General features: G+C 40.6%; 1 protein-coding gene across 1 annotated transcript in view, besides 1 other annotated feature; it reads right to left on the bottom strand.

Moving 5' to 3' along the window:
- EIF2AK4 (eukaryotic translation initiation factor 2 alpha kinase 4) overlaps positions 1-17,572 on the bottom strand; it is a 101,477-nt gene that overhangs the window by 32,917 nt on the left and 50,988 nt on the right. The window contains exons 14-21 of the mRNA NM_001013703.4: positions 16,787-16,870; positions 14,570-14,692; positions 12,298-12,402; positions 10,446-10,500; positions 9,827-9,906; positions 5,610-5,711; positions 3,891-3,944; positions 1,451-1,687 (exon numbers count right to left, since the gene is read on the bottom strand). Coding sequence (NP_001013725.2) covers positions 1,451-1,687; positions 3,891-3,944; positions 5,610-5,711; positions 9,827-9,906; positions 10,446-10,500; positions 12,298-12,402; positions 14,570-14,692; positions 16,787-16,870 — 840 coding nt within the window. The remainder of the gene's footprint in view (positions 1-1,450; positions 1,688-3,890; positions 3,945-5,609; positions 5,712-9,826; positions 9,907-10,445; positions 10,501-12,297; positions 12,403-14,569; positions 14,693-16,786; positions 16,871-17,572) is intronic.
- Positions 93-387: an enhancer, noted in NCBI's record as "tiled region #10520; HepG2 Activating DNase matched - State 5:Enh". NCBI's record gives its function as "activates a minimal TATA promoter and a strong SV40 promoter by Sharpr-MPRA in HepG2 cells {active_cell/tissue: HepG2}" and the evidence as "EXISTENCE:reporter gene assay evidence [ECO:0000049][PMID:27701403]".

The following is a 17,572-nucleotide window of genomic DNA, read 5'->3' as shown; positions in this document are numbered from 1 at the left end:
TATCAAAGGGATCCTTTAAAATATTAATCTGTGGCTTGCAGTAGGCACTACACTGCTTATTTCCAGGTTCAAAAAACAAGTCTTGACAAGTCCATCCCTCTTTGAACACATCAGGGAAGAGGACACATATCTTTCATGGCCTGCTTTGGAAAGCAAGAGCTAACCTTTCAACCAATGGGAAGGATGCCTGGGTTCAAAGTCCAAATTCTTGGCCACATTGATATTTGCCTTTCAGAGGGAGATAATCAAATAAACACATTCTCTCTGACTCTCAGGGATACTGTGGCGCGATGACCACCTAACAGCATCAGGCCCCTCCCACATACCAAGGTGATTCATGGCAGGCCTGTTGAAAGCTACATGGCATTTACATATTTTGCCAATAGCTTTCTTTTTCATTTGTTTTTGTATTATAAAAGTAGTACCATTTCACTATAGAAAATTTAGAAACAACACATATGAAAAAAGACATCTATAAAAAAGTCACCTATAATCCTGCAAATATCTTTCTATAATAATATTGCCAGCCAGTAAAAATTGTGTTTGGTCTCTAAAATCTATACTGATCTTTCATAAATTTTACTATGACTTCCTCCACTACTCTATCTTTTTAAATTATATCATATATATTAAGCAAACAGAAACATAATAGAGAATATAACAAATACCTGTTACCTACTCACCCAACTTTAACACATTTTAACATTTCACTAATATGCTTCAGATTTTTTTTCTTTTTAAAAGAAATTAAATGTTAAAGTCTTCCCAAACTGGCAACCTGGCTACACTTCAGAAACTGCTTGGGAGCTTTTAATGAGATTCTGAAATGCCTCACACCTGGAGATTCTGAGCCACTAGATGGGCTACGGGACCTGGGCATCTGCATTGTCAGAGAGTTTCTGAGATGAAGTAGATGTGCAACCAGCACTGGGAACTACTTTATACTTCATCTAGATATGAGCTGGTTGATGCTTATGGCTCTGGGCGTTTGGGCTAGGGATCAGTCTCTAAATGCACTGTTTCTTTTTTTTTTTTTTTTTTGAGTTGGGGTCTTGCTCTGTCTCCCAGGCTGGAGTGCAGTGGCACGATCTCGGCTCTCTGCAACCTCCGCCTGCCTCCCAGGCTCAAGCGATTCTCCTGCCTCAGCCTCCCGGGTAGCTGGGATTACAGGTGCATGCCACCACGCACGGCTAATTTTTGTAGGCACTGCTTCTTAATCTCTTGGGTGGGTAGGGAGGAGGAAAGGTCAAGGACTCCTTCAAGTAGGTGACTGAAAGTATGGGTCCTCTTCCCTGAATGCATATACACACATTTTGCATGTACTTTTAGGGGCTTCCAATACCTCACATAAGAACTTATGTTAGAGGCATTAAAAGAATCTGTGAGAAACTGGCTTGATCCTTTTGTGGACAAGGTGAAGCTCCCTTTGTGCAGCGTGGCTTAAGCCCACCTTCAGTATGTCGCTGTCATAGGTGTAATCGATGGCAGGGGAGATGCGCTGCGAGAAGATCTGGGCCATCATGGTGCGGTAGGCCTTCCCATCCACGTTGGTCAGCGTGTGGTGCAGCACTTCATGCAGCTCTGACTCCTCCATCTGGGGTGGGGGCAGCAGCTCACTCTTGAGCAGTTCTGTGGCTGTGGGCCGTTTTGCTGGATCGTGGTTCAACAGCCAGGAGATGACTGATTTCTACAATAAAACCCAGGCACACTGCTAATGGGATGCAATGGATAATGCTCAGCTATTCTCCGGACAAGTCAGTAGTCAGTTCAGGTCAAAGAAAAGGTGCCACTATTCTTGCACTTAACTGACATTCTGAAATTTCTGAATAGGTCATTATTTTTTCTGCTTTATTATGACCACAGAGTTGTGCAACAATGTAGTATGAACATTTCTTAAAAGGAGGCCCCTTGTTTTTATACCTTATTGTCACAACCAAAAAAAATCAAATCAACAACTACATAGAAGCAGAAATTAGGCCTTATAAACACAGAAAATATCGTATAAAAAGATGTAAAAAGATAAAACAAATAGCTTTACATGCCTAATTTTAGTAGAAATTGTAATGCATAATAACTGCTGGAATCCTAAAAGCAATGTAAAACATCTTGTTTTAATGGTTTCTTCTCCATTTATGTTATTTGCATTGATACCATTCCCTTGAATTCTCTTGATTTATGTTACTGATTTGTTATATCTTCACAGCCACCTCATTAAAGCAGTGAACCATATGAAGGCAATCTAAACCTTTGAGAGGTTCCTTAATGATGTTTAATCCTCTTGTTTATAATAAAGATTTATAAGGAGTTAGAGAAATATTTGAGATAAGAAAACCTCAATTATTAGATGGACTTTATTAAGCATTTTCTAGTTATAAATCTTTAAAATATGCCCCCCTACCACTCTCCTTCCAGTATTAGGGTAAAATAAAAACACAGGCAATTAGTTTGTATGGGATATAGGAGTATTATATAGAAAGAAAATGACATGATACAACTTTTATGAAAGGTATATTAAACTGACAAAAACAAGAATACCCTATTGAGCATAATAGACCCTGCTGTACTGGTAAATGTGCATGGCAAAAAATTATGCTATGCTCATTCTATAAGCATCTTCTAAGTTTCCTCCTTTCAGCTAAAAAGCAATGACTATGACATGGGAGGTGGTTGTGGTTTTGTTGTTTTTGTTTTGGTGCCAATTTGTACAGCCCAGACTCAAATGCTCAAGGGTATCTAATATATATCTGATGGTAGGAGTGCAGTCCTCATGGTGAAAAATGGTTTGTATAGTTCCTGGGCCATCTTAGCTGTCAACAAGGGGAAACACCAAATAAGACTGACCTTGTCATAAGGAAAGGCTATGAAATGAATGTTTACTTATGACACCCAGAAACAATAATAGCTACCAAAAGAAGCAGAAACATGACTCAATGTATTTCTAATGGCCTTCACTAATTAAACAGATGAGGCAGAATAGGTCCCTACAGCCATAAATAACCATCATGTTAAACTTACCAAATGACACAATGTTAGTGCTAATATAAATAAAGAGTACTTAATCTTTTTATTTTATAGGTGAGGGAAATTAAAGTCTAGAAAAGTGGCATGTCCATTCAGATACATAACCAGCAAGCAAGAAGGACCAAATTAATACAATATTCCATCTATGCTTTTGTTCTCAACATTAATGATTTAAATAAGGAGTTTGCCTTGATTATAATTGTCAGTAAGTCAGTTTGAGAAACTTCCATATGACAAGAGTATTAACCACTGTACCAAGACAAACAACTGGCACTCAGAAGAAAGGCATACCAGAAGCCCAATACACACATTCACCAATAATATTTTTTTTAATATTTGCTGGATGCCAATATTAGCCTATGTCATGAGTCACACACACATATACTCAGATATTTATGGTATATAGGAGAATTTATTTTGCTTTAAAATACTGTGACAATAGACTGTCCAGAAAATGCAACCCTTCCCCCATAATCTGAGCTACTGCAACCACAAAACAGAACAAAATTACAGTTTTAAATTATATTTTTTTCTTAAAGCCCCAAGCTTTATCAAAAACAATGAGTTGTAAAAGGATTCTTTTTTTTTTTCAACAGCTAAGCCAAGGGTCCAAATAGCACTTCAAAAGCACAACGAATTGCACAAAAGAACCCTGCAGTTTGTTAATTTTCTGTGCCAGCCCTTGGCATTTTTATGGTGTAGTTCAAGTCTAATGACATTTTAAGTGCTTCATCTTTTCATATTTTTTCCCCACGTTGTTCCCAGGACACAAGAGAATGAGTGGCAGAAGATTACTAATTGAAAAAGAAGAAAAATAATAATTAAAATGCAAGACTGAAGACATAGTAATTGACGCATCAGAAAATTACCTGCTTTGCATGCTCTCCATCGTCAAAGTCTTCTGGAAACTTAGGCGAAGTGGGCTAAAAAAATATATTCAAATCAGCAAGGTTTTGGCAGACTGCCACAGTGAAAGCATTTATTCACCATAAGTAAGAAAATCAAATACAGAAATAAAAATTTGCTAGCAAGAAAAGATAGGTGATACCTTCTTGAAACCTGACGCTTATTCTTCCAATTACATACATATTATTTTAATATAAACTTTACCCAAATGACAGCCTCACCCAAACCTCACTCTTCACTTTCGTCCTAATGCTGTCTGCACCTTTGACCTCACATACTATAACATTGGTCCCTTTTAGCTCAGGCAGTAACAGAGGCAAGGACTAACCCCAAAAACATAAATGGAAATTTCACTGAGAAAAAAATTTCAAGGGGCAGAAAGCACATCTGGGTACAAAGTAAAAACCTAATGGCTTCAGAGAACAACAAAGTAGTTTAATTAAACATGCAGATGAAAAAAGGCAAAAAAAAACAAAACAAAAAAAAAAAACCACACCCATATACCAACACAGATAGAGTAAGAGAAAAAAAATCTCTACTTCCCCAAAAGTTCTCACCTTTCTGGTAAATAAACATGAATTTTAGACTAAAGAAAGGCACTTCATTAAGGACATAATCATCTAAGAGCATTGCAGTCAAGGCGAGGCAATAGAAATCACTTCACTTAGTCCTATACTTTACGAACACAGCTGTCCACACTGTACTCACAGTAAAATAATTTGTTTTCAAAATTATCCAGAGAAGTGTTCTTATAGTGGAATACAGGAGTATTCTTACTGCATTCTAGTTATCGTGTTTATGAATTAACTTAATAAATATTCCTGCTTCACTCTGCTCAGTAAGAAAGAAGGTGGCTCTCCAGATGTCTCGCTCATAAATATGTGAATTTAAATCACTCTCACCCAAACCTCACTCTTCACTTTCATCTTAATGCGGTTTGCTCATGGGCATCTCTGACCTCGCACATGTAACACTGGTCCCTTTTTAGCTCAGGCAGTAAATGAGGCAAGGATTAATCCCAAGAACACAAATGGAAATTTCATTGGGAAAAACATTTCAAGGGGCAGATATTTTTTTCGGACCCGTTTTAACTTCTGGTCTTGGTAGTTTTCTTTAGACGTTACTACAACTGGCCCATTCAACAGGCATCTTTAACTTCTAGAACTAAATACCCATTTCTTTACAATCTACTCCCTTGTTATAACCATATTCATATCAAGCCCAATTTTGTGGCTTCTTCCTTTGCTTTAAAATCAAGAGTAAATCTCAGAATAATTTTTTAAAAAGCAACTATAACCTAGCAATTTCTCCAGGTAAGATTTCCAAAAACAAACAAAACTGGGGCAAGTTTCCCATCATCAGAGGTAGGGTTCCATTTACCTCACTGTGGAAACATAGTGGAGAGACCAGTAAGATCCCTCCTACATGCTGATGATCTTTGGCTCCCAAAACTGCTATTTTAAGAATTTAACTGAGGTGACTTCCTTTGCTCAGAAAAATGTTTCACTAAAAATGGGAAAACTGGTTAGTCTTGCATATCTGAATAAATGAGTCATTAAAATTACAGTAGGGCAGCCTCTTCTATATTATAAATACCAGAAAAATATCCTGCTTTGAATTCTGATCTCTGTGCTAAGATTCCGGTTACTGAAAATGTAGGCACTAAAACACCTGATACATACATCTCTGAGTTGGTTGAGAACAAAGATCCTTTCTGAAGCCGTGACCATGGGGTGATAGGACATCTCAAAGAAGATAATTCCCAGGCTGAAGAGATCCACTTTCTGAGGGGGAAGAATAATTGCATTTAGAGAGCCTTGATATGAAAGTATAATTTACCAGGGAATTATAGGATAAGCATTGTTAGCTGAAATAAAGTTTGTAGGAGTACAAAACAGGTCACACTGGAAAAATGCGAAGATTTGTTCTTAAAAATTATGGTTATAAAGGCTAAATGATATATTTTGTATTCAGATGATGATAAAATATTTGGCATGATGTCTTTAAACATTTTCCTAGAAATTTTTTTTCTTTTTTGAGGCAGAGTCTCACTCTGTCACCCAGGCTGAAGTGCAGTGGTGCAGTCTCGGCTCACTGCAACCTCTGCCTCCTGGGCTCAAGCAATCCTTCCACCTCAGCCTCCCAAGTAGCTGGGACTACAGGTGTGCACCACCATGCCCAGCTAATTTTTTTGTGTGTATTTTTTGTACAGAGTGGGTTTTGCCATGTTGCCCAGGCTGGTCTCCAACTCCTGGACTCAAGTGATTCACCCACCTTGGCCTCCTAAAGTGCTGGGATTACAGGCATGAGCCAACACGCCTGGCCTTCCTAGAAAATTAATGGTAACTGGTTTAGTTGTATCCACAGACATAGAAAACCACTGGCTGAAAACTGGAAATAATGGCTGAAGAGCAAGGACAACTGAGATTGATCATAAGAATTTGCTTTGTTTCACATCTTAGCTAACCATCTTAAAAGTGAAACACAGACCAAAATCTGCGGCTGATAGAAAAGGCCAGCTCCTGACTACAGGGTCATATGGCCTTCAAAAAGAAGAGAATCTTGCCATTTGTGACAACATAGATGAACCTGCAGGACATTATGTTAGGTGAAATAAGCTAGACACAGAAAGGCAAATACTACATGATCTCACTGGTATGTAGAATCTAAATAAAAGTCAAACCCACAGTAACAGAGAACAGAATGATGGCTACCAGGGGCTGGGGACTGGGGGTCAAGGGGAGGTGCTGGTCAAAGGGCACGCATTTTCAGTTATAAAATGAATACATTCTGGAGATCTAAAGCACGGCATGGTGACTATAATTAATAATAACGCATTGTATTCTTGAGGTTTGCTAAGAAAGTAGCTCTCAAGCGTTCTTACCATACACAAAAAATGGAAACCAGGTGAGGTGATGGGTATGTCGGTCAGCTTCGCTGTGGTAATCATTTCACAATGTAAACATATATCAAAACATCACATTGTACACCCTAAATATAGACAAGTTTCATCAATCATACCTCCATAAGCTAGGAAAAAAATAAAAAATAAATAAAAATAAAAAGCTACAGAAAAAAACACTAAAGTCAAAAAACTAGAAGGATATAAATAATCAAGATAACTATTAAATAATTGACAAAAACAAAAAAAGTATCTACAATAAAAAGAAAAAAGAAGCAAAAAGGCAAGTCAGTGCAGAGAAAATCTAAGTAGGGTGCCACGAAGGAGAAGATGGCGTTGGGAAGGGAGTGCATCTGAGGAAACCGAGCATGACACAGCTGCCGAGGAAAAGACTGCACATGGTCAGGGGCACAGAGGTGCAGGGTGTAGAGCCGCTTTCAGGACAATGGAAAACATTTTCAAGCAATACTCTTGAATACATTTGGACTCAAAGAGGGGGCGGCGAGACTCTTGGATTGTCACTGGTGACCTCCGACATCTTAAAAACATTCACTGTGGCATTTCCTATACGTGTTGGCTATAGAAAACATAGAACAAAAGCACCAAGAATAAAATAGCAATCTCATGATCCCACCACTCAGGGATATTTATTACTGATGTCTAAGATGCCCCCACTTTGGTTTTTTAAAAAAATATGTATATACGGCCAGGTGCAGTGGCTCATGCCTGTAATCCCAGCACTTTGGGAGGCTGAGGCAAGTGGATCATCTGAGGTCAGGAGTTTGAGACCAGCCTGGCCAACATGGTGAAACCCTGTCTCTACTAAAAATACAAAAATTAGCCAGGCATGGTGGCAGGCGTCTGTAATCCCAGCTACTCGGGAGTCTGAGGCAGGAGAATTGCTTGAACCTGGGAGGCGGAGGTTGCAGTGAGCTGATGGCCCACCGCTGTGCTCCAGCCTGGGCGAAAAGAGCAAGACTCCATCTCAAAATAATAATAATAATAATAATGACACTAAAGGTGTCTGCCCACACTCACAGTGTGTGCAGTCCATCTCCTGATACCCTAACCCTCACCCTCACCAGGTACTTAGATGTCTGTTTCAACTTTATGTTGTTGTCCAATGCTCCCTGTCAGAACCAAAACCCAGGCTTGAATCTCCACTGCAAGCCTGAGCATTTGCTTTGATGCAAATTGCTTTCCTAATGTATTTTATTTTACACATATATAATTGATTCAGACAGGGTCTTGCTCCGTTGCCCAGGCTGGAGTGCACTGGCATGATCACAGCTCACTGCAGCCCCAATCTCCTGGCCTCAAGCAGTCCTCCCACCTCAGCCTCCTGAGGAGCTGGGACTACAGACGTGTGCCACCAGGACTGGCTAATTTTTTTGATGTTTAGTAGGGATGAGGTCTCGCTATGTTACCCAGGCTGGTTTTGAACTCCTGAGCTCAGGCAATCCTCCTGCTTCAGCCTCCCAAAGTCCTGGGATTATAGGCATGAACCACCATGCCTGGCACCTAATGTGTTTTTAAAGTTTAGCTTTACACTCTTGCCCTAAGTGATCTCATCCAGTCTCATAGCTTTAAATCCTATCTGTGTGCTGATTTCAAATTTATCCTTCTGATTCTCACCTTTCCTCTGAACTCAAGTGTTGGGTCTCTAACAATCTACTCGAAATCTCTAATTGGATTTCTCATCAGATATTTCAAACTAACATGCCTCAAACTGAATTTTTCTGTCATCTTCTCCTCCTTCCTCTTATGTCTGTCCTTAGGTTTCCTCACTTCAGTCAAATACTCTTCACCCAGGTGTTCCAGAAAGAAACCTGAGCCCTGGACTCTTTCCCTTCCTCATTCTCATCCAACATTCCTTCCGTTGGGAAAATCTCTCAAATCCCTTCCTAATTCTCATCCAACATCCCTTCCATTGGGAAAATCTCTCAATTCCCTTCCTAATTCAGCACACTTCTCTCCATTTCTACTGCTTGCAGTCCAGTTCCAGCTGCCAACCGCCTTACCAGGACTTCCTGCAGAGCCTCCTCGCAGCAGCCAGAGTGAACTCTCTTGCTCAAGATTCTTCACTGGCTCCCTGTGTACTTCAAATTAAATGCACACTCCTTATCCAGGCCAACCTGGCTCTGTGTGATCTTTCCCTGCCTTCTTTTCCAGCTTAACTTCATGCCTCTGTCCCCTGTTGCTTGCCACACTGTGGCCACACTAGCCTTCCTTTTGGCTGTCTTAAATGTGCCAAGCTGTCTCTCTCACTCAGGGCTTTCTCTTTATGTGTGCAGTTTCCTCTGCTCCTTACCATCTCCCTCCCTGGCATGTGTCAGCCCCCAAATCTGTGTGGCTTGTCCTTTCTCATCCTTTATCCTAAATGCCATCCTCTCAAGAGATCTTCCCTGGTCAATCTGTTCTCTTTGTCACTCAGTTCCATTTCTTTTCTTCCTAGCCCTCACCACAATTTGTGGCTATATCTTTTATTTTTTACTTATTTGTTGTCTGTTTCATCCACCAGTGGACAAGCTCCCTGAGGGCTGGAGCCACATCTGTTCCTGGCACCTTGCCCAAGATAGGGGTTGGTTTGCACATTCTTTGGATGGATGGATGGATGGATGGCTGGATGGATGGATGGATGGACGGACGGACGGATGGACGAGTGGATGGATGGGTGGATGGACGGGTGGATGGACAGGTGGATGGATGGGTGGGTGGATGGATGGGTGGATGGGTGGGTGGATGGATGGATGGATGGATGGATGGATGAATGGATGGATGGATGGATGGATGGATGGATGGATGGATGGATGGACTGTAAGCTCCTGGCAGCAGCAGTGCCAGTTTCAGTCACTATCCTTAGGACCATGAGTCCTTCCTGGAGTGTGAATGAGTGGATGTCTTGACTATTTTAGCCGGGACTAAATCCCAAATGCTGTGATCTAGATGTCCTATTACCTTAATTTTGAGATTCCTTTTCCCCACAAAACCTCTTACCTGGTTGTATGCAGATTTGGTGCTTCCTTGGACCTCTGGGCTTACATAGAGAGCAGTGCCAACCATCCCAGTTAAGTGACCTGTGTGGAGGAAAACAGAGGGAAAACGTCCCAATAATAGCACTTACAGAAGACACAAACTAAAAACAAAAAAAGGTTTCTTAAAAGTGAGGCATGATCTGTTAACTGTCTATGCCACTCACAGGAAGCAGAGCATGCATTGTACCAAATGAATAACCATAAGTCACGTATGGCCACACATTCGGTTCTACACAAGGATGTCTTTGCTATTGAAGAGGAGGGACAGTGCCAGATAAGACCCCAGATGGATCAGGTCATGAGGTAACCTCACATTACCAATGGAGGTTAGACAAAATAAAACTGTCTACCCCTGGGAGCCAATTATTCTACTCACTGAAGCTCTAATTTCTTAAAGTTCAAAGAATAATTCATAAATTGAAAAGGAAAAAAAGATTAAAACGTTTCCATAATTTTGTTAACTTAAGGAGCAATTAAAATCTGCCGTAGAATAAAACCTTTACAAGTAAAAAACAGGTTTCAGGTTAAGAAATTCTGGGGTCTTTAACACATGGATGAAATATATAGTCTTCTGGGTTTACCTGAAGGGTCTGACTTAATCAAGTCTCCTGTCTGATCGTCTTGTTTGCTGTCAGCCTAAAAATATAAGTAAGCCAAATATCCAATTAAAACATGATATTATTCCATGAGAATGGCTTGTCTGTTTCTAAATGAAGACTGAGGAAATATTACATGGAAATCAAAATAATATAATAACGCTTTGAGTTTTAATTTTTTTTCTAGTTTAGTTAACCCACTAATGCAAGGCTCTCAGAAAACCCAATGAAATCAAGAGGGAGGGGGGCAATCACTGTACAACTCTTTCTTTAGGACAGAAATATGCAAACACTTAGAGAAACCAATTTATTTTCATGTTGCAAATGCCAAAAACAGAATCTGTTTTCTAAGAAGAGTAAGATTATATTAAAAACAACAAATTCATCTTTCAACTTACCCACTGCTGTTACTTTCTCTGCATCAATTTTTATTCTTCTTTCCTAGAGGCTGCTCAGCAAATATGTTCCACCCTCGCTCATGGCTAATGCCCCCCAGGTAGCCTCACCTTGCTCCACTATGTGCAACAGTGTTGTCAATACCCTAAGTCACTATTGTTATGTCTGCACTTGTAATAGGTGCTTCCCATTACAAGCATCACCATCAGTAACACCGGCTTCAACATTCTTAGTGCTGGGCACTGTTCTAGGTGCTTTACCTGCATTCTTATTTATCTTCCTGATAACTTTTTCAGCTAGGCACTAGTATTAGGCACACTTTACAAATGAGGTATTGAGAAGTTAATTAATTGTCCAATATCATGCTACAAAGCAGTGGCAGAGATAGGATTCTAGTCCAGGTCAGTGAGATTCCAGAGCCTGAGCTCTTATCTATCTCACTATGCTACAGCCTTCCAGATATCAAGTTAAATTCTTTAGTTTGGGGATCAAGATCCCCACCATCTGGCCCGTCCTTGGTCTCAGCACTCTCCCATATACTCCATGGGGAGCATGATCGGGACCCTGTCCGTACTGTCTGCCTTCCCTCTCCTCCCTTTCCACTCCTAGTCTCACCTTCTAACTTGGCCCCAGTGGTTATTCTCACCATTAACTCAAATCCTATTTTCCTTTCCTGATCACCCTTGGAATTAACTGCATTTCCCACAGATCTTGGTGCTTAATAACTTGGGTTTATAATGTGAAGCAAAATTCCTCCTCTGGCATTCAAAGCCTACCACCTACAAGACTGCCCAACCTTCCAGTGACTCCTCAACTGCCCCGCATCCTCTTACTCTCCCCTGCACCTCACAGTTTCGACCAGTCAGACAGTATGCTGGTCTTCCGACAGCCAAGTCTGCTTACCCCGGGGCCTCTGCTTATGCTGTGCTCTCTCTGGAATTCCCACCCTGGGGCCACCAGGCCCTGCCCTCAACCTCCACCTGTTGGACTCCCAACCACCATTTAAGGACATCTGAAATGCCACTGTCGTTATCCAGCCTTTCTTGAGCCTTACAACTGTATGGTCTCCTGGTGTTTTACGTTTTTGAGCCTCATTTCCCCAAACCAACAAAAGCCTCTGAGGTATAAAGCATCTAGCCCAGTGCCAGGCATGGTAGACCAAAATACCAAATGATTTCATAAAGTACTGTACACCTTTGACCACAATATTGTTCCCAAGCCAATAATTTTGTGTCCCTCAAGTGGAATGCACTCAAAAAAATATACTCACAATTGCAAAGCCTACAAGATCATTTGCAGCATACCCCTTCAGGTTTGTATAATCTCCTGAGGATTAGACGGCATAGTTCTGTGAACGCACTATTCTATCCGCTAACACTTCCAGGATTATCAAGACATCTGAGTCTGTTTTTAGGTACAGTCTAATTTTTAAAATACTTACAGAAAAGGCTAGATGGTCTGTCGCCAAACCAAAATCACCTATTTTCACATGGTCATCAGAATCCAAAAAAATGTTGACAGGCTTCAAATCCCGGTGAATCATTCCCTGTTGAAAGAGAGTGAAGAAACAAACAATGGTTTTCCATGCATAAAGTTATACCTACTTCCTAATTTAAAAGGCCAACCTAGCGATGAAAATCGTATGAGGTCTTCTCCCACAGACCACCCTGGTCCAGGCTGTCTGGCCTCTGCAATATGTCCTGACTGTCCTATGACCTCTTTACTGTTTCCTAGTTCTACCTGGTGGTATCCTGACCAGGTGAATTCTAAATAGTTCCCTGTGGCATCCAAGGCCCCTTCCACTGGGTTCACCAAGTTACCCTTACCTCTGCTGCATTACAAAACCTCTCCTCTGGTCAGGGAGACACACCATTTTTATTCCTTCTTCTATTCCTTTCTTTGTACCCTCTCCCCTTCGTAGGATACTCGCTTTTTTCCATGCATTTGCACTATACCAACATTTGCAATTGCCAACTCATTCATGAGCCTTCCACAGTAATTCTAACAGTTCAACTTGGCATCCCCAGCACACACAGTAGGTGTGCAACAATTACTTGTTACATGAGACTGCTTTCTCATTTTCCTAATGGCTCATAATCTGTATTGTTTCATGCATTATAATAGAGAAAATAATGATCTCTTTTACCATTACATGAAGGTAAATTCTGGGTCCCTCTAAGAGCAAGAAGTCCCTCTCAAGCACGGGACACACACTTGTGCCTCCTTGTATTTCCAGGTATGGCACAGTGTTAGATGCCAGCAAATGGTTAGCCAATACTGAGCAAATTGGATGGAGTGGAATAGAGCACAGGGGGCATTGTTCTAGCATCCCAGGATAAAATCACAGTAATACAGCTTAAATGGCCCTCATTAGAATTCATTTTCATTTCTAACCTTGCAAATTCTGCTTCTACCAAATCATTTACAAACTACACATGTGTAAATTACAGCCCTTGCTTCTCAGTATAAATACGGTACAGTACAAACATTTTAAGGTTAAAGAAATTTGAGGCAAAGGAAAAAAATAATGAATTTATATTGGTTAATGCATTAGACAATCTCATTTTAAAAATGTAAGCAGTGTTTCATCCTGAAGCTAGGCCCATTAGCATTTATATTATAATGGCAATTTCTAGCTTTAAAATGACATTTTAGACATGCGACAAGCTAAGTTACTCAGAAAGTCTCATTTCTCTTCTTGCTAGATGACCTTCTGGTTTCCCCGTGTTCCTAGGAAGGGTGGCACTAATTCAGTTAGAATCAAGTAACTTGGCAGGTATTAATCACATCCTTGCTTAATTCTTTTTTTCTCTTTTTTCAGATGAAGTCTCTTACTGTCACCTAGGCTGGAGCGCAGTGGTACAATCTCAGCTCACTGCAACCTCCACCTCCCAGGTTCAAGTGATTCTCCTGCCTCAGCCTCCCAAGTAGCTGGGATTACAAGTGTGCACCACGACACTCAGCTAATGTTTGTATTTTTAGTAGAGATGGGGTTTCACCATGTTGACCAGTCTGGTCTTGAACTCCTGACCTCAAGTGATCCGCCCATCTTGACCTCCCAAAGTGCTGGGATTACAGGCATGAGCCACCGCACCTGGCCCTAATTCTAAAGCACTCAAGGAATCATCCTCATATTCCCTACATGTTCAAATACTTTCTCCTCTCCCAGAGGTTAACAAATTTTTTCTGTAAAGGGCCAGAGAGTGAATACTTTAGGCTTTACAGTCCCTGTTGCAACTACTCAAATCTGCTGGTATGGAAAAAAAACAGCCATAGGCAATATGTAAACCAATGAGCATAGCTATGTTCCAATAACCTTGGGAGCACTGACATTTGAATTTCATGTAATTTTTATGTGTCACGAAATGTTCTTCTAATTTTTTACAACCATTTAAAAATATAGGAGTCATTATTAGCTCACAGGCCATACAAGAACAGGCAGTGGGTTAGATTTGACCTGTGGGCCACAGTTTGCTGATCCCTGTCCTAACCTTTAAAGTTTTCTTAACATTTTTTAATGTTATACTCTGATACTTTGTAATACTTTATTGTCTTTGACACTTTGTTCTATTTCCTACAAAAATAGATTATGTCAATATACCCATAGCTTTCCCTCTATTTCAGTTTTTCTCCAATCTTACATTTGATATTTTTATGCAGTCATAAATTTATGTAAACATAAGTCTTCAGATATGAAATGTTGTAAAGTTTACTTTCTCATGGATATAAGCTAATCCATCCAGAATCTCTCGAAAAAGCCTCCAGAGTCTGACGGTGTCTCGATACAGTCCCTGGTCAATGGTGTCTCGTAAAGTGCTCTTCTCACAGTACTCCATCTATATACAGACAAACCAGGAGAATTTGATTACACAACAGTTTTAAGTGAAGGAGTATAACTGCAATTTACATAATCCTCCATTTTAAAACGTGTACCATGGGTTTTAAACGGTTAGGGGAAAGACTTGGTTTTCTACACGAAAAAGAAACCAACAGTATTAAAAAATACCTTGGGGGTAAATATGCATACTCTTGGCACTCCAACATAACCATTTTTAATTTTTTATATTATTGCTCATTTAAAAATATGACTTGTTTAAAATACTTATCACAATTAACATAAAAAACTGAGAATGTTGTAAAATTTTATTTATTGTTTTACAAGATCGCTTCCAAACCCAAATTTACAAGGAGGGTTAGTTAACCTAATTATATCATTAGCTTTTCTTACATTAAACACAAATGACCTTCAAGTTTAGAGAAAAATATTATAAATATTAAAACATTCAAGTCTTCTTGGGACAGTGACACAGGGGCTCTGTCTCACCCCTTCTTGAGTGTATTCACATATCAGAAAACAGTGCAACATGACTTAAATCTTAAATCAACATGCACCATTTGATTTATGAAACTAGCCTATATGCTTCAACTAGTGCCAGAGTTGAGATTTCTCACGAAGAAAGGTTTTATTGTTTTTAAAGAGAGGAAGACCAGACTTTGTTCTATCACCTTCGGAATAATTGTCAGTAAACTCTGGTTCACCCTCCGGGCCTCACAAGGCCCCCTCTGATGCCCACACCGTGATCCTGATGCATGTCGGATGCACCTCCTTTGTGTACTTCTATCTCATTCTAATTGTGTAGAAGGTAATGGAATATAATAGAGGATAAACAGTGGTTTGGGGGACCAATGCTTTATTATCTGTGTAAGTGGTACCTCAAAGATATTTATGTTACGGAATACCTAAAACCAGCTCCAACTCCAGGAAAGCAAATACCTAATTCATCTCATTCAAAATGCTGTAACTTGTCGAGGGTTCCTTTTTCTGCCCAGTTCTGTATCTCACATTTAAAGATCTGCCTGCTTGCAGTTATGACTGAAATACTAACAGTGACCCACAGTCCTGTTCCCTTGGGGCAGAGGAAAGACTTCTTTGTTTTTGTTGTTGTTGTTGTTGTTTGTTTTTTAGATAGAGTTTCACTCTTGTTGCCCAAGCTGGAGTGCAATGATGCAATCTCGGCTCACTGCAACCTCCGCTTCCTGGGTTCAAGTGATTCTCCTGCCTCAGCCTCCTGAGTAGCTGGGATTACAGGAGCACACCACCATGCCTGGCTAATTTTTTGTATTTTTAGTAGTAACGGGGTTTCACTGTGTTAGCCAGACTGGTCTCAAACTCCTGACCTCAGGTGATCCACCCGCCTCGGCCTCCCAAAGTGCTGGGATTGCAGGCGTAAGCCACCGTGCCCGGCCAACTTGTTTTATGGCCACTCCTCTACTGGAAGAGCCCACTCACCCCTGTTTAGGATGTTGTTGCTCTGGCAGGTAGGCAGGCCAAAGCTCAGACTTCTCAGTCATGCCCCATTGGAACTGGCTTGCCTGTGCACTGGTCTCCAGAGGTTCCTGGTCAAGCCACTTTGCCTAAAGTCACCTTGGTGTTACTTTTGCATGTACAGGCATGTGTGCACATCATATCTTACTTGTCCAGATTCAGGTGGTTAGGCAAAGTAGAGTTTCTGTGCTCATGCAGTCTAGCACTTATGGAACTCAGATATGGTTCTAAGTACTTCACATGTTATTTATTCTTTACAAGTCTATAAGAACTACTATTATGTAATTTATAGATGGGGAAACTGAGGCACAAGATGCTGAAGAACCTTGCCCGAGTTCATGCAGTCCTAACAGGTGGATCCAGGATGTGAACTTACACAGCCTGAGCCCAGAGCTGCCCTGTGGCTGCTCCTGATATGTGGCAGGAAAGCATGAGTTCAAGGCTGGGGAAAAGGGCCTCCATATGGTAATCCTCTCGGCCAATTAATCTTTGGTAGTGGCAATAAGCCCTCCTCTGTCCATTATCTTGTTCTAATACCCTGAAACAGGCCCACCCGCCACTACTGGGTGTTGCTGTGTCACCTAACTACACACCACGACCTCACCTGGATGTATAGGTAGTGCACAGCCTCAGTCGTCACTGATGGCTCACTTTCATGGCAGCCATTCTTTTCATTGCAATCTTCATCCTAACCCAAGACGAACACACAATAACTCAAAATGGAGGCCAAAATTAAGCAAAATCATCACCATCATTAAGTATTTGTGCCCACCCCCAACACAGGGCCACCCAGTTGCCTTAGGGAGAAGTCAGTGAGCAGAACATAACCACTATCCTTAGAAGCTCACAGCATTTGGCTGTGAATCCTGGTCTTTTTTGGGTTGGTAGGCTATTAATTACTGCCTCAATTTCAGAACTTGTTATTGGTCTATTCAGGGATTCAACTTCTTCCTGGTTTAGTCTTGGGAGGGTATATGTGTCCAGGAATTTACACATTTCTTCTAGATTTTCTAGTTTATTTGTGTAGAGGTGTTTATGGTATTCTCTGATGGTAGTTAGAAAAGCTGGTACCATTCCTTTTAAAACTATTCCAAGCAATAGAAAAAGAGGGACTCCTCCCTTTTTTATGAGTCCAGCATCATCCTGATACCAAAACCTGTCAGAGACACAACAAAAAAAGAAAATTTCAGGCCAATGTCCCTGATGAACATCGATGCAAAAATCCTCAATAAAATACTGGCAAACTGAATCCAGCAGCACATTAAAAAGCTTATCCACCACGACCAAGTCAGCTTCATCCCTGGGATGCAAGGCTGGTTCAATATACAGAAATGAATAAACATAATCCATCACATAAACAGAACCAATGACAAAAACCATATGATTATCT

Source organism: Homo sapiens, chromosome 15, assembly GCF_000001405.40.
Source record: "Homo sapiens chromosome 15, GRCh38.p14 Primary Assembly".
In the NCBI taxonomy this organism is placed as follows: domain Eukaryota; kingdom Metazoa; phylum Chordata; class Mammalia; order Primates; family Hominidae; genus Homo; species Homo sapiens.
This window is presented reverse-complemented; position numbering and strand designations above follow the sequence as displayed.